This window comes from Homo sapiens, chromosome 4 (assembly GCF_000001405.40).
Source record: "Homo sapiens chromosome 4, GRCh38.p14 Primary Assembly".
NCBI lineage: Eukaryota > Metazoa > Chordata > Mammalia > Primates > Hominidae > Homo > Homo sapiens.
The window spans coordinates 112,027,266-112,055,018 of NC_000004.12; the positions used below are offsets into that span (position 1 = coordinate 112,027,266).

General features: G+C 35.3%; 1 long non-coding RNA gene across 4 annotated transcripts in view, besides 1 other annotated feature; it reads right to left on the reverse strand.

The window, feature by feature from the left end:
* LINC02945 (long intergenic non-protein coding RNA 2945) overlaps positions 1-27,753 on the reverse strand; it is a 308,805-nt gene that overhangs the window by 223,800 nt on the left and 57,252 nt on the right. The window lies entirely within an intron of this gene.
* Positions 22,050-22,129: a silencer, noted in NCBI's record as "silent region_15632". NCBI's record gives its function as "represses an Ori minimal core promoter by ATAC-STARR-seq in GM12878 lymphoblastoid cells {active_cell/tissue: GM12878}" and the evidence as "EXISTENCE:reporter gene assay evidence [ECO:0000049][PMID:35858748]".

Sequence of the window (27,753 nt, forward strand, 5' to 3'; positions counted from 1 at the left end):
TTAGTGTGCAATGCCAAGCGGTATTATGGAACCCATAAGCATTTCTGAATGTCAGATTTGAGGATTGTGATCCAAACAGGCAGTTATTGTGGTCAGATACATCAGAAGTGACTATAATCAAGAGATGACAGTGAATCGGTAAGGAAAAGAGACCCTCTTGCTATCTGTCAAAGGAGGAGGGAGAGAACTTTAAAATATAATGAATATAATAGTGTGAGTTAGAAGATCTAGGTGTAAATCTCAATTTGTTCCTCACTGGCAATTTGACCTTGGGCACAGAGGAAACGGATCTTAAAAGAAAAAGAAGAATCATATGCAGAAAGAAACAATAACAAGAAATTGAAAGAAAACACTGCCTGTATTTCCAACTTGTTCTCAATTTCTGATCTTTCTTAGAATTTCTTCATTCTTTTGTTTGATTTTAATTAAATATCATTCTAATTTATAATAGAGTTCTTTTTTCCTACTAGTCCAGAGTGAATTGACTTGTTTCTTGCAGCAATATCCTAATATATGGATGCAACATCTTTTTAGAAAGAGAAATTTTCTTTTCTCCTGCATGAATGTGTGGTTTGTCTTAGTCCAAGTCTGCTCTTTTGGATTCATGGCAAGAGAAAAAGAAATGTGAAGAGGAAAAGAGATGGAAAAATGAACCCCTACTGGTAGCAGAAATGGTTAATTACTGTATTAGTCTGTTTTCACTCTGCTGATAGAGACTGGGTAATTTATTAAAAAAATAAAAATAAAAGAGGTTTAATGGACTCACAGTTCCACCTGGCTGGGGAAGCCTCACAATCATGGTAGAAGGCAAAAGACACATCTTACATGGTGGCAAACAAGAGAAAGAATGAGAACCAAGCGAAAGGGGTTTCCTCTTATAAAACCATCAGATCTCTTGAGACTTGTTCACTAGAACAGTATAGGGGAAACCACCCCCATGATTCAATTATTTCCCACCGGGTCCCCTCCACAACATGTGGGAATTATGGGAGCTACAATTCAAGATGAGATTTGGGTGCAGACACAGACAAACAATATCAGTTACCATCCCCATATCTATTACTCCTTTTTTCTCAATGGGAAAACCCACAATTTTAATTGCTAATTGGTTGAAAGCACTTGTCAGTCTCCCTTGCAGCTAGGCATGACATGTGTCTAAGTTCTGGCTGATAAGATAAAGTCAAAGGTGACATGGGGCATCCTAGAAGACTGTTGAAAGAACACTAACTCACATTTGAAAAACAAAACAGAACACCTGTTTGTCGTTTCTCCCTTCCTCCTACCTGCATTCCAGAATGCTGATGGGAGGGTAGAATTTCCAACAGCCATTTTGGACCAAGAGGTAACCTTGAGAATGAAAGCCATTCATAGAATGGCGAAATACAATAGCAGAAGGAGCCCAGGTCTCTGTTGACCATAGAGTCCCCATAAAAGTCCTAGACTCTCTTATCTGTGTTTCTCTCACAGATAACAAGACAGAAGAGAAATAAACTTCTATCTCATTTAAGGTATTTGGGGTTTGCTCTATATGCAGCTAGTAGAAAAATTATATTGCAGCAGATACTAGAGAAAATTGATATGCCTTTGTATAATCTATACAACTCTCATTCCTAATATTTCTATTGTATTTATCAGTTCTAAAACTGAAAAATTATTTAAGAATTCATCTTCCTTATATTTATTTTCAGAAATCAGAATGATGTGGCAGAAAAAAAATCAGCCTGAAAATTAAGAAAACTATATTTTGATTCTAAATAGTTATATTACTTTATTAAGTAATAACACTTCAAGTGCTTTTTCATCTTTAACATAAGAGATTTGAACCAGATAAACTCTAAGGTCTTTTCAGTTGCAAAACTCTTCTGTTTCTATATTTCTTGCTTTCTTCATGGGATTATTGAAAAGACCCAAATGTATAATTTTTATTTAGCAAATAGCACTGTGCCATGCTCTTTGCAAATATTAATTTAATCATCATAGCTGACCAAGGAGGTAGGTACCACCCATTTTAAAGATAAGCAAACTGAGAAATAAATTAAGTAACTCTCCCAAAGCACATAGCTTACACTTGGCCAAACCTGGATTCAAACCCAGGAAGTTTGACTGGGTTTCTGATCTTAACACTACCCCACCCTACCTCAAATAAACAGAACAGCAAATAAATTCTACTTAACTAAGTGACTATAGTCACTTCAGTACAATGACTCAAGGAACCTAACAGGACATGGTAATTTTTCTTATTTTCAGAGAAATCCAAACATGATTTCTCCCAAACCTTAAAACACAGTATTGATGGGAAGCTCATAGTGCAACCATAACTTCAGAAGGGTGTTTGGGGTGTGCTGTGGACTAGAATAGAATGTACTATTTCCTTATGAAGTAGGACTTGAGAAATTTTCTCAGCATCGCCTGGGGAAAGATATTATTCTTTCCAATAAATCCAATTTTTATTTTAAATCGATACATGAATAAATAAGCCATTGCCTATCGTTTCAAGCTGAGGCACAGCATGGATCTTGCCACTGCGGTGCGGCAGATGGGCTGCGCTCTGGCATGCCTAATGCTCAGCTTCCGTCCGTCAGTGGCTCCAGCCACTGTTCCTCCACGCTTCCCTGGCATGCGAGTATTAGGTTTCACACAGAAATGCAAAAAAAAATGCCTTTAAGCTCATTTCTACATGAAATACAATATATTCGCCAGATAAGCTGGACCCTCATATTAATCATAAATCAATTATGTTTACCCTTAGCCAAGAAAGTACTAAAATGTTCTTCCCTCATTTTGAAACCTAATATGATATTCACAGTAATTATGCTGGCTTTCATATGAATCATTGTCTCATTCTGTAATTGTTAGTACATGGCTGATTCATTTTCTGCCTTATAGTATTTGAAATGATCATTCCACTTGTGGTAGGATTTGGGGATTTATTGAAGTAAATCCTTTTACTCATTAGACTTTCCTTTTTTGTATCCCATCTTCAGTCTTTTTGTTGAGATTTTACACCAAAGTTTTCTAAAACCTGTAGCAAGTAGGAGAACAACATGTTAAATCCTACTGAAGCTGGCAAAGCCATACTAATGGATGGCAAAGTCTCTCTCCACCACTTTTCCTTGATCTTGTCCTTCCCTCCAGAGTCACACCACACCCACCCCCTTGTTTCAATTGTCCCTTTCATGCCTCTGAAAATACAATCACGTTAATATTATGTGCTGAAACACTTTTAAAATATGAAAGTATTTCAGGTTACTATTCAAATATGCACAAATAAATATGAGGTTTTTTCTGGGTATCATATACATCAATTTTTGGGAAGAGCACATTTAAAGACAGATGTCTGCTGTCCTGGCACCTCCAATATCACATTATTTTATGCATATTAAGAAGGTGTCATGGAATCGTCTCTGGTTCAGACCCTCTGGAATGTGAGGCATGGTCTTGGGATTGTGCCCTGCTGCCCTTTCTACATTAAATGCTAAACTGTCAGAGTGAGAGGAAACAGGTGGACCCAGTACAACGAGGGCCATCTGACTGAGACTGCCAACCTTCAGGTGGAACGTAGGAAATCAGAAATCAGCAGCCTTTCTGGACACTGTTATCACTATAAGAAACCATAATAATAAAAATGGGGGACTTAACATTGTAGATATTAGTAATGATCACTGCAATAAGCAACTCCTTTCCATGGACGCAGTCTCAAGTCCATGATGGCTTTACTTTAGGAGGGCTATTTATGCTATCCTCTATTTCAGAACTATATTTTGCTAGAAAAATGATTAAAGCTTATTCTCTTTTTGCATTTTGAAGTATTGGGCTTTTCATTTTAAAGTGTTTGATATGAAATTTCATCTTTATAATGAGAGTAGCTATTTATTGATTGCTTACAATGCTGAGGACACTGTGCTAAGAACTTTATATTCACAAACCTATTTGAGCCTTAAAACAACCCTTCAGGATAAGTATTATCAACTATTCTTCTTTATAGATGAAGCAATAAAACATCATATAACAAGTAGGGGAAAATCCACATCTCAAACCTTAGGCTTTGGGACTCCAAAGCCTATGTTCTTAACCACCACCTTACCCCATCTTGCCTTTGCAATCATGTATGGATTGCCAAAGAGCTATGCCCAGTTATTCACCACATTTTTTCAATATAAAATAAGTTCATCATCTAATAAGAAGATCATGATTTCTTTTCAGCTATTTAAGTGCTATAAATTCTCTTTATTTGCTCATTAGCTGGTATATCTTATCAGCTAATGGCAAAATGTAAAACCAGCTGGTTTTTAGAACCTTTCTTTTGCTTTCATTCTCAATGCTCCCTGAGTTGTTTGGTTGGTTGGTTGTATTTGTTATAAAGGAGTTAAGAGTAAGTACAAAGCAATGACAACATTGTCAAAAAGCAGAATTTGTTTTAAATTGTTCTCAACCATTTTCTTTATCAACATATACATCGCCACATAAAAAATCCAAAATTAGTTGGATTTTTACACTGGCTGGAGGTAGTCCTTAATTTTGTAAAATGGCTGGTTTTATAAACTGCAGAATGATACACTTCTGTGCAACAGAGCAGCCGAAGTCTGAAAACAAACTATTTGGTAGTCAAACCCTCCCCCATTCTAGGCTTCTTATATGGAGCTGCCATGACATCTAGTGGCCAAAATTTAGGGAAGCTATTCTTTATCCATAAAGCACACAGGATTTCTAATTTAGAAGCATATTGAAAATCTCACATAGAAAATGAAATTGTCGGTAAATACAGTGCTTCAAAGTTTACGACTATTACGTGAATTGTTGGTTTATCCTTCCTACATTACTTAGATATTTTAAAATATTTATCATAATGAATTTACACCAAAGCCTTGGTTTATTCTGAGGTGAGTATGTGAATGCATCATAGGATTTGATTCTTTGTGTTTTACTTCTGTAAGAGTAACAACAATTCGATATCAATGATTAAATCAACTTTACATTTTAAATGACAGTCTAAGTAAATGAGTAATAACTTTATATTATCTCAAATTAAAGTGAAACAACTGACATACAAGTCAATTCCCTGCACCTTTTTGCTGAGTTAATGGGATTTCTTTTCTAAAGAAGAAATATTTAATGTTATTAAAGGAAGAAATAGAAGATTGGAAGTCAATTTTTAAAGCAAAATAACTAAAAATGAACAGAGTATAGTTGTCTTCAGCAGATTTTTTTTAAAATTCCAAAGGTCTGTTTCTAGTAGATTTTCTGTGGTTTAAGCTAAAATAAATAGTTCGTGGAAACCACAATATACAAATGATCAGAAATAATTTTTAAACTCTTTTTCTAATGAGTTTTTTAGTCTAAGAAACACCAAAATAACAGCCCGAGACAGAGACTGATGCATCCATGGTTTATGAAAGCTATAATCACAGGAGTGGGGGACAGGAAGGGGCAGGAGAGACAAGAATGGATACAGAAGGAGGGGCAGCCAATACAACGATGCAATATAGAATTGGCCACTCCTGGATGCAACTGATTCCTGGATCTACAGGACCTTCTGAGAAAACTTATGGACTGTACCGTATCTCCAAATCACTCTCTGGAAGGATGCAAGGGTGGAGCATTTCCTGTCCATTTTTATGCCATATTGGTCAAGGTCTGTCCCATGGGTCATAAACTCACCCACACAGGGAGGCTGTTCATATGTGTTCAAGAATCCAAGGCTTCTGGTGTCAGAGAAGCTTTATATGGACTGAGGCAAGGCACTTCCAGTTGTACCTACATAAAACAGGTCAAAATCTGTGCACAGGCCGGGCACAGTGGCTCATGCCTGTAAACCCAGCGCTTTGGGAGGCCAAGGCGGGCAGATGACCTGAGGTCCAGAGTTCGAGACCAGCCTGGCCAACATGGTGAAACCCGGTCACTACTAAAAATATAAACATTAGCTGGGCATGGTAGTGCATGCCTGTAATCCCAGCTTCTCGGGAGGCTGAGGCAGGAGAATTGCTTGAACCTGGGAGGCAGAGGTTGCAGCCAGCCAAGATCACACTGCTGCACTCCAGCCTGGGCAACAAAGGGAGATGCTGTCTCAAAAAAAAAAAAACAAAAATCTGTTCATAACTGTTGTCTGCAGCAATGGCTGAAATGAAAGATGTGGCCAAGCGGATCTGCAGTGCTACACAAGAAACATTCAATAAATGTGCATGCAATTATACTATCTGTGTTACATTAATAACAAAATAGGTCATATCAAGTTCATTGATATGGATATTTTTATATTTAATAAACATTACTAAGTATGTTGATTAAATGATATAATTATCACCCTGGCCAATGCACAGCAGAAGTCAAAATTCCAAAGGGATCTTGAAGCAGCAGTAAAATCTATTCATCTTGATTGGCAATTATTTTAGTGATGTTAGTCTAAACAGTGTTCACAGTATGAATTGTTAGGTTGAAATATTTTAATCTTGTGAAAAAAGCAACATTTAAAATCAATTATCTCGATGTGAAATCCTGATACGATGGGAATAACTTGGCTCCTGGGAAGAAAATCTGTTAAGCTTTCATAGAAGCCCCAAGAGCAGATGTTTTACAGAAAGAAGAGAAACATAAAAGAAAATGAGAGTGGGAAATAGAAGAAAACTAAAATCCTACCTCATATCATGAAAAAATTTCCCAAAAGATAAATTTAGATTTTGTCCATCAAAGGGAAATTGGAAGTTCTACTTTTAATTTTGTATGTCCTTGTAGTACTCAAACTGAGCATTGTCATCGTCAAAAAAGTAAAGCTTTTGTGGATCCTTCATGACTGCTATCAAATCTAATTCAAGATGGATCAAAGACTCAAATGTGAGAAATAAAATCATTACCTCCCTTGAAGACAACATAGGTGAATTTTTAAATAATCTTTAGGATGATAAACGCTTTTTTACAGCCAGAAATATTAAAAGATGAGTATATTTTTACTTAAGTGGTAAAACCTTACATGGTACAAAGAAATGCCAGACAAAAAAGCCAAAATACTTGTAGCATGCAGGACAGATAAGTAGTTAATATCTGTCATATTTTAAAAGTTCCCTATCAAATCACTAAATAAATGATGGAACATCATAACGAAGTAGATCAAAGAACTTGAATATACAATTGAAGAGAGAAAAAGTAAAATATTAGATAACATTAAAATATATCAATAGCTAACATTTACTGAGAATGAGTTTACCAGGAAATGTTGTAAGAGCTTTATGTGTATTAATTAATTTAATTTTCACAATTCTATGAGGTCAGTATTATTATTATTACCATTTCCCAGATGACTAATCTGTGACATAGAGAGGTTAAATAATTAGCACAAAGTCAAAAAGCTGGTAAGTGATAAAGCCAGAATATAAACTCACATGGTCACACTCCACAGCTTTGGCTCCTAATCAAATGCATACATTCATTATTAATCCAAAACTCAAATACAAACAATGATTTACTGCTTTCCACCTAGCCAAATGATAAAGATCTTAAAGATCAGTGCTATGTGGAAACTCATAAATTGTTAATAGGAGTGTCAATTGATACAATCTTTTTGGAGGTCAGTGTAATGATATGCATCAATATTAAATGCCTTCTTTTTAACTCAGACATCCTTCCTCCAACAGATTCCAAATAGATCCTAAGGAGATAAAGAATCAAACATACAAAAATGTAGGAACAAAAACGTCCTTCAAAGCATGATTAATAATAGGAGCAGGAAAGAAATGGAAATAAGCACAATGTCATCAGTGAAATAGTTGTTAAACAAATTAAAGTATATCTATACCATGAACAAATATATAGACTTAAAAATGAGTGATATATTGACAAACCATATATCTCATAAGGGGTTAATCTGCAAAATATACAAGGAACTCCTACAACTCAATAGTAAAAACTCAAAACTCAACTTAAAAATGGTCTAAGGACTTCTCCAAAGAAGTCATACAGATGGCCAACAGGCATATGAAAAAATCCTCAACATCACTAGTCATCAGGGAAATGCAAATCCAAATCACAATGAAACATCACCTCATACCTGTCAGGGTGGCTATTATTCTTTTTAAAGAAAGTGTTGGCAAAGATATGGGCAAACAGCAACCCTAACACACTATTGGTGGGAATGCAAATGGTGCAACCGCTATAGAAAATAACACAGAGGATCCTCAAAAAAAATAAAAATAGAACTACCATATGATCCAGCAATAAAATTTCTAAGTATTCATAAAAAAATTGAAATCAGGATTTTGATGAGATGTTGGCACTTCTATGTTCACTGCAGCACCATTCACAATAGATGAGATGTAGAAACAACCTAAACGTCCATTGACAGGTGAATGTATAAAGAAAATGTGTAAGGTACATATAGTGCAATACTATTCAGCCCATTAAAAAGAAGCAAATTCTGCAATATGTGACACCATGGATGAACCTTGAAGACATTATGCTAAATGATATAAGCCAGACATAGAAAGATAACTACTGCATGATTCCACCTATGTGAAGTATCTGAAATAGTTAATTCAGAGAATCAAAGAGTGGAATGGCGTTTGCCAGGGACTGAAGAAGGGGGAAATTTGAGTTACTAATCAAGGGACATATAGTTTCAGTCAAGCACAATGAATAAGCACTAGAGAAATGCTGTACAACATTATACCCATAATCAATAATTACATATTACACTTAAAAATTTGTCCAGGCCGGGCACAGTGGCTCACGCCTGTAATCACAGCACTTTGTGAGGCCGAGGCAGGCAAATTACAAGGTCAGGAGTTTGAGACCAGCCTGGCCAATATGGTGAAACCCCATCTTTACGAATAATACAAAAATTAGCCAGGTGTGGTGGTGCACGCCTGTAGTCCCAGCTACTCAGGAGACAGAGACAGAAGAATCGTTTGAACCCAGGAGGCGGAGGTTGCAGTGAGCCCAGATCACACCACTACACTCCAGCCTGGACAACAGAGCATGACTTTGTCTCAAAAAAAAAAAAAATTGTCCAAGAGTAGATCTCATGTTAAATGTTCTTAGGTGTTCATTGACATAGAGAGGTCTGAAGATCACTGAGAATAAATTATAATTATAAAGCAGAATATATACAATGATTTTCAACTGTTTGCTGCCATAAATCATAAGAAATTTTACAGAGTCCACAATTGAAAGTGGATCACTGAGTCACTGATTTTTGAGTGGGTGGATGGGCAGCATAGTCCCAATTGAAAATAATTTTCATATAGTATGAGGATAAACACACATAAAGATATTATATATATTACATGCATTTACATATATACATAACTCTGTAAGTTTAAGTGTGCAAAAAATATATATCTAAATGGATCTTCACAAAAACTTTTACAATGAATATTTGCCTGAATAATAGTATTGAGAGCTATTGATATTTTCCTTTTCATATTTTCTATCTTCCTTCCATTTTCAATACAACTGTATATTACCTATCGAATCTGAAAACAAATTATAACTATTTTTCATCTGAAAAAATTAATGCTTTTGATATGCTATTCTTAAGTTGAGCAAGACAATTCTTTCTGTTCCCCACGGATTGTCTAAGTTTGTAAACACCTTATAACCAGATTTCTCTTATTTTGTCTGCTAGCTCACTGCCACACGTGTAGGCTTTCAAACAGGGAACAATATATATAAAATGAATGCTTCCTTTATAAATCACACCCTTAAATATTAAGCCTAAATAGTGAAAATACAGAAGGAAGAAATGCTGGCCTCCTTCGTGACTTTCTAACAGCCAACTTCCTCCTCCCATAAGAGGACACTCCTCACATTCCTTAAGGCTTTAGCAGATCCCTGTTCCCTGGAGGAGAAGCAGAGCACACCAAACGTCAGGAGCCAATGCCTCCCTTATACATTAAGAAGTCAATAACTCACTTCTAGTGGGATTAGATCATTGATTCCAACATGATCTTAAGAAGAGTGTTTAATGGCAGCTCTCTCCCTGTTAAACCTCTTAGTACAGTACATTCTTAGGACATATCCTCCCAAGAGAGCAACAGGAGAGATTCAAGTTTAAAAAGCTAAATCAACTCTTTCTGGTTAGTAGCTCAGCAAAGTGGCTACTGAGAAAAAGTCTATGTTGCAAAACGGGAAATCCTGTAGCCTGAGCCACCCACCCACTTCTACTGGACCTAATAGATGCTACTAAGTTCCCGATGTGGAACTAGGAATCAGGAATCGTGTACCATATAAAAATATACCATACTACAGTAAACTCAAAGAAAACCCAGAACAGAAGAGCAGATTCTTCTTAAAGGTCAAAATTTATTTATTCTGTGGAAATATGTATATCACACACACACACACACACCCACACACAAAATAAAAATGGTAAGTACATTTTGAAGTGAAATATTCCTAAAATTAAGGACAGCTCTCCTTTATAGGAAGTGATGCATAATTCAATAGGGTTCAATAAGAACACAAATGTTAATTACATTAGGAAATATACACAAAAGTTGTCCTCATTTACACAAAAGTTGTTGCAATAAAATATTTGTTAAACATTCTTTTATTCTACACATAAAAAATCATTTCATCTTTAAAACAAATGATCTAGAAATATATATGACTGAACAGGTCTAACTCTAAATCCAGGTCAGAATTTAGGCTACAATTTCATGATGTACAACTATTCTGGGTAGTAGGTATTATTAGCAGCAATTTTATAGATAATCAAACTGAGATCAACAAATATGAATTGAGTTGCTCAAAATCAAACAGTAGGTAAATGGAAGGACTGGAATTAGTACCCAGATCTTGACTTTTAAGTCTAATTTTCTTTTCACTGCATCATGTTTCCTCCTAGATATTACAAAGAAAAACTTATTCCTCTGGGTGGGTGAGAATGATTGAGTTACTTGTTTAATTTTAAAATATTTAAGAACACAACTTACAATTTCTTCAAGAGAGAAATAATATTACTAGGCTGGAATATTACTAATTAGATAAGAAGTTGTTGATGCCTTTGAGGGGAGTCTAATTATGAAAGTTAGGCTGGGCACGGTGGCTCACGCCTGTAATCCCAGCACTTTGGGAGGCCTAGGTGGGTGGATCACCTGAGGTCAGGAGTTCAAGGCCAGCCTGACCAATGTGGTGAAACCCCGTCTCTACTAAAAATTCAAAAAAAATAGCTGGTTGTGGTGGCACACACCTGTAATCACAGCTACTTGGGAGGCTGAGGCAGGAGAATCGCTTGAACCCAAGAGGCCAAGGTTGCACTGAGCCAAGATCACGCCATTGCACTCCCACCTGGGCAACAAGAATGATACTCCGTCTCAAAAAACAATAACAATAATTATTATTATTATTAAAGTAGTAAAAAGACAGCATTATGATTTGGTGCATTTAATCCTTAGGATAACATAAATCCTGAGGGTAGCACTGCAACTATCCTTCTCAGGCTCCAAGGTGCAGTATATTATTTGATGGTGAGGAGTGACACTGATCTACCAGTTTTGTCCCAGGGACTTGGTCCTGAGTTCCTCTAGAATGTTAACTAAAAAAAGATTGTGAGAGTCAAATATAAGTTTTCTAACAAATCTACCCTTTGAGGGCAAGAGGGTTGGGGAGCTGTTAAAATTGTTGGAACTATGGAAGGAAAGGAAACCACTCAGCAAACATTAAAGGAACCATGCTTAGAGAAGAAAGGAGGATCCCTCGGGCTAATAGGACAGGCATCACTGCCAATATCCACAGGCTTTAAGGTATGCTGAGGTCATGTAAATGGAAGATATGACAGGACATCCGAACTAAAACCACAGGAAAAAGATTGGTTCAGGCAGCTGCAGAGGAGCAATTCAATGGCTACTGAGAAGAGTTTGTGAGTCATCCCAAGATTGGCTTAAGAAAGAGAGAGGTTTCAACAAACAGGAATTCTAGTCAATAAGCTGTTGGTACTGATAGGCAAAGATTAGTTAGAATGAAGGTTATGCTGATGTGACAACCAGTTCTAAATTACAGTATTCTAGGTTGACACAGATCTTTAGTTCCCATGATTCGTGAACCGTGTTTCTCCCACCTTGTTACTCTGCTATCCTGTACGGCATTTTCCTCTTTTGCATTTGCAAGCTGGATGCAGACACATCATTTTCAGCTCATTAAAAATGTCCCAGATGGACGTGGTGGCTCACGCCCATAATCCTAGCACTTTGGGAGGCCAAGGCAGGCAGATTGCCTGAGCTAAGGAGTTCAAGACCAGCCTGAGCAACATGGTGAAACCCCGTCTCTACTAAAATACAAAAAAATTAGTCGGGCATGGTGGTGGGCGCCTGTAGTCCCAGCTATTCGGGGGGCTGAGGCAGGAGAATCGCTTGAACTCGGGAGGCGGAGGTCGCAGTGAACCGAGATCGCACCATTGCACTCCGGCCTGGGTGACAGAGTGAGTCTTGGTCTCAAAAAAAAAGTCCTAAGATCCAGGCCCAGAAGTGCCACAGCTAACTTCTCACATACTTTTGGTAAGATTTTAGACATGGACACTCCTAACTCTGAGGAAGATTGGAATATGTAGTCTTTAGTTTACCTTAGCTACAATTCTATTATTAAGGAAGGAGGGAACAAATTTTGGTAGGCAACCAATAATCTCTATCAACTAGCAGTTTGCTATCTTCATTTTTATTCATATGTCCATGATTGTGCCCCATCCCCAACCCTAAAAAGCTAGAAATTTGGAAAGGAATATATTTCACCATGGGTATGTTTAAGATTCCCACAGCCTTTGTGTAATTTTAGTTAGTATGTAGTATCCAATACAAAATGGAAGTGCAGTTTTTTCTCAGTAAATTGCTTTGTTGTCTTCCAAGTCAGAAGAATGATAGTAAGACACTGGAGTGATAAGTCTGAATCAATGCCTGGAACAGTAAGAAGCACCCTCACATAACAGAACCTAAACTTGGACATCAAATAAATTGCTGCATGTTATATTATAAATCTCTTTAGTACCTTTTACACATATGTGAAAATCAAGAAACACTAATTAAAAGCACAGATTATCTTGATAACTAGTTGTTCATTCTATAATGAAAGATCCAATTCAAATAGCCCCAAATTACACAGAATACTCGTTCTGTGTAAAAGTTCCAGCTATATCTGGCATATAACTGCTTTACTAAGTTCGACCATTAGAGTGTTGTTTTTTATTAAGTTCACTCAAATAAATTACCTTCACAGTCTGTCCTAGAGACTAAAATAAAGTCTGTACAGACCTTTTAAAGCAGAATCTTTTCATGGCGTTGTGTTAAAGGCCAACAAATTAGAATTAATCTTCAAAGTTTCATGTGGCTGAATCTATAAAAACACTTATTGTCTTGACTATTTTAAATGCCTTGACATAATTTTCTTAAAATGGCATTTATTACAGTTAGTAAAATAATTTTAAATTGTTGCTTAATATTAAAGAATGTTGCCTTTTAAACCAATTAATTTGGTGTCAAGTAGATGTAATTTCAAAATTGCCTCCAACATTTAACAGAGTCTATTGCATAGTTATGTTCCACTATAAATTACTTTTTAACAATATCATTCTAATTAACATGATTAAATAATTTTGAGATTATTTTAGAAAAGAGGGGGACTTGAAAAAACAGAGATTCTAATAATTAAGCTTCTGGTGCACCTGGCCAAAGATTGGTTAGAGTGAAGGTTTCCCAGACTATGTTTTCCAGAGAAAAACAAAAGTGTGATAGGAAAAGAATGTTCATCTCGATCCATGGGCAAAATGTAAAGTATAAAAAATGGAAAACTATCCTTAGAAGAGAAGTCATTGAAATATCTTAATGTAATACTAAGAGACTGCTCCAGCTAGCGTTGAATGTGAGATCAAAAAACAATTGTGTGAGTTTTACATTTCTAAAGTATTTTCCACACAGAAACTGTATCCGTATGGTGAATTACATGTACCTCTATCCACAGAAAAGATAATCAGGACAGCAGCAAAGCACGCTCAACACGCACTGTTCCAGCAAAATCCTTGATCTCAAATTTAAAGAGAGAAGAAACAGACTCAAAGATGGTTGTTAAGGAATTCTGGCAGAATCTCTTCAGAGAGAGAAGTTAATAGGTGTAATAAATGACCCAGGGCACTGGTAGGAACAAATTATATAAATAAACTTAAGAAGAAGTTATACAAAAAAGGTGGACCCAAACAAATGTGAACCTGTAAGTTAGGAAAGCAAGCTCAGAGGATGGCATGGCCCATTAAAAGCTGTTTGACCTACTGCACCTCTATTCTTTTGTCAAAGTTATAGGAGTATCCTCTTAAGCTGTCACTTTTACAAATGTAAGCAAAATAATTTTATAAAGAGATATTTTGTCTTATTAAACACTGCCCCAGTACATCGTCCAAATTTCCCTCTTACCTTGAAGGAAACGTGAATGAATATTGGAGCAGAAGGTTTACATTAGAGTTTTTATTTAAATTATCATTACCATAGGCTCTTAAATCACCTAATGATTCGTTTGCCTTGCAAACCTAAAACAGAACTTTTTAAGATAAACTTTAACTTGCTACAAGTCATAAAATTATTTCCATATAAAGTCTGTTTATTAAATGTGTTAAACTGTTATATGGGCCCTTTAAATTTATGGAAAGGCAAAAAAACTGCCTGGCAGCAATACCTGCAAAAGCAATATACACTAGGGAAAAAATCATACTATAGGAATAGAGAGTAGACAAAGAATATCTGAAATATCCAAGGCTGGAAATTGAATTACAAAGTCCAGCATGAGCCAAGATGATCTCATTTTATGTGGAGCCATCCTTAAGGCAAAGATTACAGCTCTAAACTTTATCTTTTAGACTTTCATTATTTTGGCTAATTCTAAGAGGAGGCATTTCAGACTTCTTCATCTCCTGATTAAAGGAATGTAATGACTAATTGGGGTTCAACACCCCATAGCCCTTTTCCCCATTTTTGGATGCAAACAAATTCCTGAAAAAGATATGGTTACAAATTACTATTGCTCCCAGCAAAAGATCATAAGGTTAATGTTTTAACATTTCTGGGATATACCTGCTAATTGTAGAGATTTTCGCTGCGAACACATATATAGCGAACACTATATATGGCCAGTTTAGCTTTGCAACACTTTGCAACTGGTACATTAAGCCATTAGAAAAATTATTAGTGATAAATATCTCTTTCTATCAAATAACAAAGATTTCCTGAAGTGAAGTTGCACTGCTACATCAACAACCAGACATTATTATTTTTCCTATGGCACTTCAGTAATAATTAAGAAGAGAGCTCCATGAAGCATCTAAGCTCCAAGGGGGTTATCTGACAGACTAGAAAAACTTCTTTCTTAAGTCTTTGGATACTTTACATATATATATATATATATATATATATATATATATATATACACACACACACACACACACACACACACACAGTATATTTGTATCTATTCCTCCAAGAGTTCACTGGAGCATGTCAGAGGGTTGACAGTTTCAGAGAAAATATCACTTCAGAATATTTTATGACATCTTTAGCCTGTGAATATGCAGTGATTTTTTTTTTCCTTTTTTTTGCCACCTTCCTGATTAGGAATGAACATGCAGTGATTAGGCACTGATTTTGTTTCCACATCTTCATAATTATAGCTGAAAGTGAAATCATTCCTAACCTCCTGCTATTCACCAAGCCAAATAACCATGAACATAAACAACACAGAGAGCAAGCCGTACAGTCATTTAGAATTTGATCTGAAAACAGATTTTCTGCTTTATTAATTTAATTACACAAAGGAACATTGTGTTTTTCTGACTACCTCATGACATTGTGATGAAAATTAAGAACTTAGAAGTCTTTTAAAAAGCCTTATCTCTTTGGTTACAAAAACTACCCAACATGTGATTTATCAAGAATATCTCCCATTTGTGTCATACAAATTCCAAAGGAAATAAAGACGACATTACACATGTTTATCTTGATGCAGTGACTGGTTTCTTCATTTTTGATGAGGAACAAAGGAAAAATATTTGTAACAGGTTCCCATCTAGCTGTTACAGAACCTGAAGTCTAAGTGTTACCCTGAACAAAACTGCTCTTAAACGTGGTTATGTTTTTCTCATTACTATCACTTTTGACAGGTATAGCATGATACTGCCAAGTAAGACTTACGTATTTAAGTGAAGTAATGCAAGAAAAATGACGAGTTATATAGGTTGTACTTTGCAAACACAAATCCATTTGATATGTATGTGCTAGCCTCATCAAGATCTCAAAAGGAAAATAAAGTGCAATTTAAAGATTAATTAACATCTAAGAACAAATGTTCACTTGCTACCTCAGAAACAATCATATGATATAGATATTATCACCCCCATGTTCCAATAAGTTGACTGAAACTTAGATGTTGAGTGATTTGCCCAATTATACAGCTAGTCATCAGTGGAATCAGATTCTGAACCCAGGACTTGGGATGCCCAATCCAATGTTCTTTCCACTGCACCATGTTGTGTCCTACAAAACACTCGATAATCATTTGTCTGAAAGGTAATACTGAGAAAAGCTCATTATATGATTCAGTGTATGACTTTGGGGTACCCATGCAGATTTCCAACTTATGGGGCTCACTGAGAGATAAGGAAGCAGCCAGGAGGGCAGCAGTAAATCCCTAAATGTCATTCAAAAGAAAACACCCCAGAGAAATTAATTTTAGCCTTGGCAAAGGTATATTGACTTTTGTTAGTTTCCCTTTGCTGGATTTTACTAAAAGATGGTGCATGCATAAATCAAAAAATACAAGAAGAATACAAATTGGCAAAAATAAACAAACAGAAAACTAGGTGGGGAAAGGAGACGAGCATTTATTTCATAAATGCAATACTCTTTATGAAACAAATTATTTCTACCAATTTTATGTCATATGTCAATTAAATTTTATTTTGGATTCATTTGCAGAACTAATTATTCAAAGGAATATTTTATTACTTTTAAGTATCTTTTATAAGCAAATATTAATGTTTGGCATATGTGTCTGTGGCAATACAGCACAATGGCTAACAACAGGAACTTTAGCGCGCCACACTGCCTACGATTTAATACTGACTCCTCTGCTTACCAGCTGTGTAGTATTCAGCAAGTTACTTAACCTCTCTGTATCTCAATTTTCTCATGTATAAAATAAGAGACTGATAAAAATAGTACCTACCTCAATGCTACTGTGTGAGTTAAAATGAACACTTTATACATATATATATAGAGAGAGAGAGAGACAGAGAGAGTTTTTGCAACAGTAAGTACTGGTACATAGTTAAGTACTAAACATGTTAACTGAACATATTATCACATTGCTTAATAATGTACCTCTATGTTTCAAATTAATGCCCATTTGAGATCTGAATAAATACTGATAAGATAATCATGGTAATGTAAAATTATCATAACCACATTAAATATACTATTGGCCACTATAGTGTATAGTTCTTTGGTTATAAGACAAATATCTATAATTAAAGACACCATTAAGCCAGTTTTTCAGACACATGGAAATAAAGTATTGAGGAATGCATAACTAGGGGTATGAGCTGAAATAAATAAAGAATAGAAAGAAAAACAGATATTATATATTGAAGACATAGATATATACAACAGATATACACATCAAAAAAATGGCAATGATCTGGAAACAAACCTGACTACTAAAGTGAAGTGACAGTCTGCCTAACCTGAGCACACCAAGAAAGTCTTGTTGACATCTTAAACATTGTTCCTACCCAGATTCCAAAAAGTCTGAAGTTCTAATATTAAAAGACTTATCCTATTGAATAAACTTCCCTCGATACATTTCATTCCTGGGTTTATTTTTATTTTTTATTTGTATTACAAATTGACAAATTAGCATTGTATCAATTCCTTTTTTAAAACAAAATTGTTCCTAAGAAAGGTTCGGCACACACAAATTAATTCATTGTAAGGTATTATTAATGACTGGTCAGATTCTCCTTTCTAAGAAAATGGAGACTCATGGGACAGAAGAGTTCAATCTTGTTTAGCACTTCCTTTTTGAGCAAGAAAGGAAGAAGAAAGGAAAAACACTAGAAGGAATAAACTAGTAGGGGGCTGCTGAAAGAGCCCACAACCAGGCCTCGCTTGATTTTCCTCCATTTTTATCCTCTAGACCAGGCATGGCAAACCTTTTCTCCAAAGGACCAGATAGTAAATATTTTAAGCTTTGCAGGGCATATGGTCTCTATCACAACTACTCGACTCTGTCACAAAAGCCCAGAAACAGCCTGAGATAATATTTAATGCATGGGAGCTGTTGTGTTCCAATAAAACTTTATAAATACAGCTTGCAGGAAGATTTGGCCCACAAGATGTAGTCTGCAGACAACCTGGTCTAGGCCAGTAGCCACCTCAGATTTTTTTTTATAAACCCCCTGTAACCATATTATTCCATATAAAATTTAATTAGTAATAAAATGATATAAAAGTGTTCTGTAAAGAGGGCAAAAAGAGCATGCATTAAGGTGTTCGAATCTTTAATCCAAGTAAAATGGAAGGTAAACCCAAAACTCAGTTATACATATCTACATATAAACCTTATAACAGTGGGAACGTAGGCCCCAGGTGGTCTCACACCGATGTTCTGAAATTTGTGAAGGTTATCCTCTCTCAGTGTTTTCTTTTTCTAGACCCCCCAACACAGAGATTTCTCCATTTTAACAAATAAGGAAACAAACTTTAAAAATATTAGGGAACCTAAAGTCAAGCTGGCATGTGACAGAACCAAATTGAAACCCAGATTGACCTGACTCCAAAGCCCATGCTGAAAAGAAACTTTGAATTGTTCTCATCAATGGAAAAGGCAGCCTTCACTAGAACCCTTAAATTAATATTGATAGTATAAGCACATATCACAGGTAAAGCAGATGACTATGGCAGGTTTTCACTGTGGAGGTTCTTGATAAACCTGTCTAGAATAGTATCAGGTATCTAATCATAATAGTTACTGTTGGGTATTTTAAGAAAATGTAAACTATATATACATTCAGCCTATATTTTTGTTACTCTAAATATTTTAAACAATTATTTTATTTTGGAAATATCCAAGCATAAGTTGAATATTGCTTTTTAGAGTAAGATTGTTAATATTTAACTTAAAGCTATATATTTACAAAAATATATCCTAGAGAGGAAAGGAACAAAAACTATGTAAATTTTGCTAAATATCAAAGGAAAGTACAATAGATAAATCCAATTCAAAACATTTATTGGACTCTTACTTAAATTATGTGAAACATCTATACAAACTAAACTTCTGGGGAAATTCATCATGTAAATTTTATTTTTTTATGTTTAACTTTTGTTAGGTCCAGGGTACATGTGCAGGTTTGTTATATAGGTAAACTGCATGTCACAGAGGTTTGGTGTACCGACAATTTTAAAAGAATAATCAGGTAAGGCAAATGGAGTTTTGAATTAAACCACTGCTTCCTCACAAAAGAACCACCTGTGATAATTCACACAAAGAAACACATGACATTACAGTATACATTTTATTTATAAGGGATTATAGTTGCTTCTATCCTAAGAATAAGTACAATGCACTTTGGATTTTCCTTAGGCTTCTGAGATTATATTATGACATTGATTTCTATATCTGTCATGATATTTTAACCTGGAAATGTATTGCTGAACTAGTATACACTATCTTGGATCTCTGAGTAGGGCTACTATAGCACTAAGATTACAATAGGATCATCATAAAAGAATTGCAGTATATTATTCGGGATTACCTACATTCTGAAAACCAATTTCAATGTTGCATCATTTCTCTTTTGATATACAGATAGTTTCTAATGACTAAATTAAGCACATTCTACATAAGACTTTAAAAAAAGCATGATTGCAGGAATCTAGTAACGGCAAACTAATTAATTTGGACAAATGCTCAGCTAGAAAGGCTGAACAAAATATTTTTAAAAACATATTCTCCATAGCATTGAAAGGTTAAAAAAAAAATAGTGAAGAATTACGAGACCAAGATCTGAGGAGGACTGGGGACCAAGGAGATGAGCGTTGCATTTGAAGCTACTCATTCCCTGGGAGATCTGAAAAATCCCGGAGAGGTAGCAGAAAGGCTAAGAAGCTGAACAGTGATTTTGCTAGTATTATAAAGCTAGAAGGAGAAGGGTTAGCCACCAGGAGCGCTAGCATTCTTTTGGTTAGTGCTTGCATGGCATAACTGTATTTAAATTTAAATAAATTAGTATTTACATTAAATTTAAAAGTAGACTAAATGTTTCAATTTAGATTAAAATATTATAACAGAATTTTTAAATTCTATGCTATAATAGACATACCTAAAGCAAATACATACAGAAAGTTGAAAGTAAAAGAATGATAAATATTATGCCGTGAAACTCTAACCAAAAACATAGTGTAATTATATCAATCTAAAATACAGTAGATGTGAAAGAAAAAAGCATTGCTAGAGATAAAATCGTCCATTTCTTAATGACAAAAGTTCAATTTACCAGGAAAATTTACTTCTAAATGTATAAACACATTATCACATAGCCTCTTAATATTACATTAAAAATTTATAGTATTCCAAAGAAAAAATAGACAAGTCTACAACCATAGTGGAAAATTCTAACAGACCTTTCAGTAAATGTTAATACAAATGACAAAATATCAGTAAGAACTTAGATAATTTTAACATATGATTAATAAAATTTGACCTAACTCACAGACACAGAACACTTTCTTTTCAAGTCATATAATTCATTTTAAACCACATATCATTCACATCCTTTCTGAGCACATATAATTCCCTCATAAAAATTAGAGTTCCCACTGTTCCACATTCTTTCAAATACTAATAGTATTAGATTTTTCTTCTTGTTTCTTCAGAACCATAAAGCAAGTTTTAATAAATTTTGAAAGACTGACATCTACAGTATCTTCTCTGGCTAATAAGGTAAAGTGGATTTCAAAAATTGTAGAAGAATTTTTACATTGGAAATTAATCAGTGTACCCCAAACTGTTTACAGATTCAATGAAATCCCAATAAAAATTCCAGCAGCCTTTGGCTCTATTTTGTTTTGTTTTGCAGAATTCAACAAGCTGATGCTAAATTTATATGGAAATAATGAAGGCCAAAATTATCCTGATATCAAGATTTATATAAAACTACACTTATTAAAACAATATGGTATTGACACAAGAATGACAAATATATCTTTGGAATAGAACAGAGATCCAAAAGACATTCATGTATGGACAGCTGATTTATAACAAAGACAGCACTGCTAAACAGCATGGAAAGGATGATCATTTCAACAACTGGTGCCAAGACAATTGGGTGCCCATGTGAAGAAAAAATAAAATTTGGCCTTTACCTCACACCATATACAAAAATATGAAAGGCAAATCACATAGCTTCTAAAAAACTATATTAGAAAATATATTTATGACCTTGCGGGAGGGGAAGACTTCTTAAACAAAACAGAAAAACCATGAAAGAAAGGGTTGATAAACCAGACTACATTAAACTTAGTCTACATGAAAGATCATGAAAGAAAGAGTTGGTATATTGAAAGAAAGAGTTGGTATAAAGAAAGAGTTGGTTAAAGTTCAAAACTTCCTTTTTTTAAAAAGACACCGTAAGAGTCTCAGGTCCACAACAAATCAATGGATCAATGAGACAAAGTCAATGCAATAGTCATGTGGGCAGCAGACTTAAAACAAGTGCTTCAGGCCGGGCACGGTGCCTCATGCCTGTAATCCCAGCATTTTAGGAGGCCGAGGCAGGTGGATCAATTGAGGTTGGGACTTCGCGACCAGCCTGACCAACATGGAGAAACCCCATCTCTACAAAAAATACAAAAGTAGCTGGGCCTGGTGGTGCATGCCTGTAATCCCAGCTACTCAGGAGGCTGAGGCAGGAAAATCACTTGAACCCAGGAGGCGGAGGTTGTGGTGAGCCGAGATCGTGCCACTGCACTGCAGCCTGGGCAACAAGAGTGCAACTCTGCCTCAAAAAAAAAAAAATGCTTCACAATAGAGGGTATCTAAATGACTGGAAAATATGAAAGGTGTTCAATGTCATTAGTAAAAGGGGAACAGAAATTGAAGCCATTGTGAGATACTACAGTAACCAATGAGAATGGCCAGAATGAAAAAGTCAAATACTATTAGTATTTGAAAGAATGTGGAACAGTGGGAACTCTTAACACTAATAACAGGAGTAATGTCAGTAGAAATAATATGAAAGACAATATAACTATCTTTTAAAATGGAAGATATGTATGCTTTTTGACCCACTATTTCCACTTATATAACTAACAATAATGTATGCACATGTGCTTCAAGAAACATGTTCAAGAATGTTTATGGCAACATTATTCATGATATCAAAAAACTGGAAACAGCACAAATGTCAACCAGTAAATGGAAAATGATAAATTACAGTATGTTCATACAATGAAATTCTCAAATTTTTTATTTTCTTTTTAGAGCGGGTTTTCGCCATGTTGCCTAGGCTTGTCTCAAACTCCTGAGCTCAAAGAATCCGCTCACCTGGGCCTCCCAAAGTGCTGAGATTACAGATGTGAGCCACCACCCCCGGCCACCTATGAGCCACCACGCCCAGCCAGGTCCAGCCTGGCCACCATGGTGAAACCCCATCTCTACAAAAAACACAAAAATTAGCCAGGCATGGAGGTGCATGCCTGTAATCCCAGCTACTCAGGAGGCTAAGGCTGGAGAATCACTTGAACCTGGGAGGTGGAGGTTGTAGTGAGCTGAGATCTCGACATTGCACTCCAGCCTGGGTGACAGAGTGAGACTCCATCACAAAAAAAAAAAAGCAAAGATATGACTACAATATTAGTCAGGATATTAGTTAACTTTAGGAGGCATACAGGGGGCAATGACTGAGAGGAAGTTTGGAAGGACACTTCTGAGAGGGTGATAATACTAAATCTTGACTTGAGTGAGTTCCATGGGTTTAGTTTGTAACAAATCATTAAGCTATATTTTTTTCTTCTTTTTGAGACGGAGTCTCACTCTGTCGCCCAGGCTGGAGTGCGGTGGCACGATCTCGGCTCACTGCAACCTCCGCATCCGGGGTTCAAGCAATTCTCTGCCTCAGCCTCCCAAGTAGCTGGGAATACAGGCATCTGCCACCATGCTGGCTAATTTTTTTGTGTTTTTAGTAGAGACGGGGTTTCACCATGTTGGCCAGGCTGGTCTTGAACTCCTGACCTCTTGATCCATCCACCTCGGCCTCCCAAAGTGCTGGGATTACAGGCGTGAGCCACTGTGCCCGGCCTCATTAAGCTATATTTTTGTTCTGTGGACTATTCTGTATGCATGTTATATTTTACAGTTTAAAAGTATTTTTAAATTACTTTCTACATTAGAATTGAAACTGAAATTCAAAATACATATGTATAGCTATTTGAGATTGCAATGATGTGCTTGAAATGAGGAAAAAATACTGACATTACAGGGTTAGCTTTGCAGAATACTTGCCAAACAATTGAGACAAGCAAGTAATAGTAATAATAGCAAATATCATAATAATAATGGCTAAGACTTACAGCACTTACTATGTGTCAGTCACTATTCCAAACCATTTACATACATTAACTCATTTATTCTTATAAGTCTTGTAAACATATAGAACAGAAATATCTTAATAGATATCCCTTCTTCTAATCTGAATCATAGAAGTGCTATTTGTGATGAAATACAAAGCACAAGAAAAACAGCTCTGAGTGTAATAGTCACCACTGCTCCAAGGGTGCAACCTTTCCTGAAGTCATGGGTCACAACAAACAAACAAAAACACCTGTCAAGGAGTTTATGCCAGTAAATCAAGAAGAGATTAGATATTTTAAGACAGATCAAGTGTCTGTCCATCAGCTAAGGGTGGAGCCAGTTAGGAAGCATTGTCAATAAATGAGTGAATTCAGCAGAAGTTTTTTTTTTTAATCCAGATTATCTAATTAACCCACCCCAATGTTGAATATCTCTTCACATGCTAGAATTTTCCTTAACATGTGGAAGTAGAATATATTTTTTTTAATTTTTAAGATCCAAATGTACTGTTAAAATAAATTTTTCTTATATCAGCTAATATACTATGTGAAATTAAGGGGACCTTGTAGAGTAGTAGTAAAATATGACTATCAAATTCTCTATGGTCGTAAGGATGTGTGCAACCATCTAGGACACCACTAAATATGTAGACACTACAGCATCTTTGAGTCACCAGTAAGATATTTTGATTCTTTTTTAATTCTGAGATTAAAAACTCACTGAGAATTGTGTTTAATTTATGACAACTTAAATATCCAGTCTACTATTTGGTAAAATAAAATCAATTTCCATAGATACATGGATTGGCATGGTCAACTAATTCAGAGTTGGCTGAATATTTCAGTTTTCAATTCTCTATTTGGATTTGGTGTAGACACACTGTTCATTTTTACTCCTTAGCTCTTTCAACATATGAAATATCCACAGATATAGAAAATCATCCCTCCTATAGCTTTAATCACAAAAGATAGGTATGGACCTTCTACATGGTAATGCCACTTACAAAGGCAAGGTGATTAGAAATCAGTCAACATATTAAGAAGTTGTTCTGCAAACTTTCACTAAAAGAGAACAGTTCTGTTTCATCAGAATTTATTGAAACCATATTATTTATATAGTTTAATTATTTATATAGTTTAAAATTCTATTATTAAACAGCAGTGATGAAAACACAAGATAAAGTCACTTTACCAACATCTGTATTCTTAATGAATTATGTTATTTACACTAGGGAATATTAATTTTCTTTTTTTTCTTTCCCTTTACTAATAGTAATACAATCATTTTCACAACAGGAATATTGCAGCGGTATGATAAAATTCATTTTTAATGCTAAAGATAAAACAAAATTGTATTTCTTTCATAGTAAGAATGATGTATGATCCAAACTTTTAAGTTATTAGACTTAATTTAAATAGGAAAGTTTAGAATATATTTTGAGTTCAGATTCATCAATTCAGCAGTGAGCTATCTTTTGTAAACCCTACTCTATATTTTTAATTAAACTTTTATTTTGAGATAATTATAGATTACATGCAGTTTAAAAAAACAGAGACCTTGGCTGAGCGTGGTGGCTCACGTCTGTAATCCCAGCACTTCAGGAGGCCGAGGCAGGCAGATCACCTGAGATCAGGAGTTCGAGACCAGCCTGGCCAACATGGCGAAACCCTGTCTCTATTAAAAACACAAAAAAATTAGCTGAGTGTGGTGGTGCATGCCTGTACTCCCAGCTACCTGGGAGGCTGAGGCATGAGAATCACTTGAATCCAGGTGGCAGAAGTTGCAGTGAGCTGAGATCACACCACTGCACTCCAGCCTGGGCAACAGAACAAGACTCCATCTCAATAAAAATTTTTAGAAAGAAAAGCAAAGATCTCATACACAGCTTACCTATTTTCTCCCAATGGTAACATTTTGGAAAACTATGGTACTATCACAACCAAGATCATGACACTGATATAACCAATATACAGATTATTTCTATCACAGGGATCCCTCATGTTGCCCTTTCATGGCCGCACCCACTTTCCCTTTGCTCTTCCCCCATTCTAAATCCACCAGTAATCTATTATTCATTTCTATAATTTTGTCATTTCAAGAATGTTATTTTTTATGGAGTCATACTGTATGCAACCTTTTAGGATTGGCTTTTTTCACTCAGCATAATTCTCTGGAGATTCATCCAAGCTGCTGTGTATATAATCAGTAGTCTGTTCCTTTTCATCGCTGAGAAGTAATCCATGGTATAGATGTACCACGGTCTGTTCAACCATTCACCTGTTGAAGGACATCTAGGCTGTTTCCAGTTTTGGCCATTACAAATAAAGCTATGATAAACAGTCATGGAAAGATTTTTTGGGAACATAAGATCTTATTTGTCTGGGATAAATGCCCAGGAGCACAATCGCTGGGTCGTGTAGTAGTTGCAAGTTTAGTGTTTTTAAGAAACTGCCAAATTGTTTTCCAAAGTGGCTGTACATTTTACGTTCCCACTAGTAATGTACAAATGATCCAGTTTCTCCACATTCTGGCCAGCATTTGGTGAATCCTTGTATTTTTTAGTGTCAGCAACTTGTTAGTGCAGAAATATTCAGACAAGGTATTTGTGTAAGTAATTGCATTTCCTTATGAAGTGATATGTTCAATTATATATAAGTAAAAGATGGACAGTTACAAAAAATTAACAATAAAAATTGAAAGAAATAAAATCGAACCAATATAAATTAGATGACAACTACATATCCTGTATTTACTTCTAATACAATTTTTATGAGTCAATGACTTATCTCTCATTGAAAACAAAATACTCTTGACAAGCTCATCTTCAACCACATCTTAAATTTACAGCTTTATCAACATCTTTTTTGGTCAAAAGAAATCAACCTATCAGCATAAATATATGGTCAAAAACAGGGTGCTATCACATGCATTCACTTTATTTTCTTTTCTCTTCTTTCATTTTCATTTTCTTTCTTTTCTTGCATATTTACTTGCTCTCTGCTTCAGATTATTCATCAAAGCCAGTTGTAACCCTTCAAACACAATTGTCCGCGGAAGTGTTGCTAATCATTTGAAAAAGCTCAGGAAAAAAAAAATGTTGTAATTCACCTAGACTCAACTCACTACCTTAAGAAATCCATGGGATTATATGCCTATTCAGTTATTGAGGGAGTTAAATCCAGGCTTAGGTATAATAAAAGCTTGCTAAAATGCCTTTTGTCCTCTTACTGGAATACACATTCTTACATGCAAAACTGAGGAGCAGGAAGCAATTGCAGGAAGAGGAAAGATAGCAATACAAAGTGAGAATAACCAGAACTTGTTCTCTTGTGTTTTGAGTTAGCCTTTGCTTTCCATACCTTGAGAAGCATCAAATTAAAAGAATGTGACTCAAGACCACAAAAAAAGTAACCTCATAGATTTACAGGCCTGCACAGAAGTTCATGTAGTTGCACAGCTCCAAGCAGAAGGTTTATGTTCATTTAAGAGTGGAAAATTTTCAAGTTCTTCCAGAAGCACCATCTGTTTCTACTGGCTCGTCATGGTTTGAATTATTTATTACAATAACCTCAGATTTATTGGGTTAACCTTTGGATTGACTCCTAAAATTAACTATTGAATATTTATTATTTTTTCAGTAGGATAGTAGAATACAAAAATTAATTTTACCCTAGTATTGAAAGCACCTTAAGGTCTTTATCATAACCAAAATGACAGAAGGAATTATATTGTTTATCGCGTCTAATAGGTTTGATCCCTACAGCTATGTAATTGGTCCACTAGATGATGCTATGGTGGTTAAAATTTTTAAAAGATGATCTGTGCAAATTTCAAACAACTACAAAAATGTTTTTAAAATTTTTTAAACATAGTTTTAAAAATAGTTAACATAGGATACCTGCCTTATCAATCTGTTAATGAGAAATGGAAAAAACACAGAGTTCCTAAAACTAAAGCCAGGACTTAAAAGCTGACAAACAGCTTTCTATGAATCTTCATGATCTGGTAAGTCTCAATATCTTAAGAAAAATATAAGTGACTTTTTAGAAGCAAAGTTAATGATAAACTGCATGCTATGAAAGAATTAAATACAGAAACATTGGGGAAAAAGCATTTCCAAAGAAGGCAGAGATATAAAGTTAAATTAATTTTAGTGAGAGGTTTTTT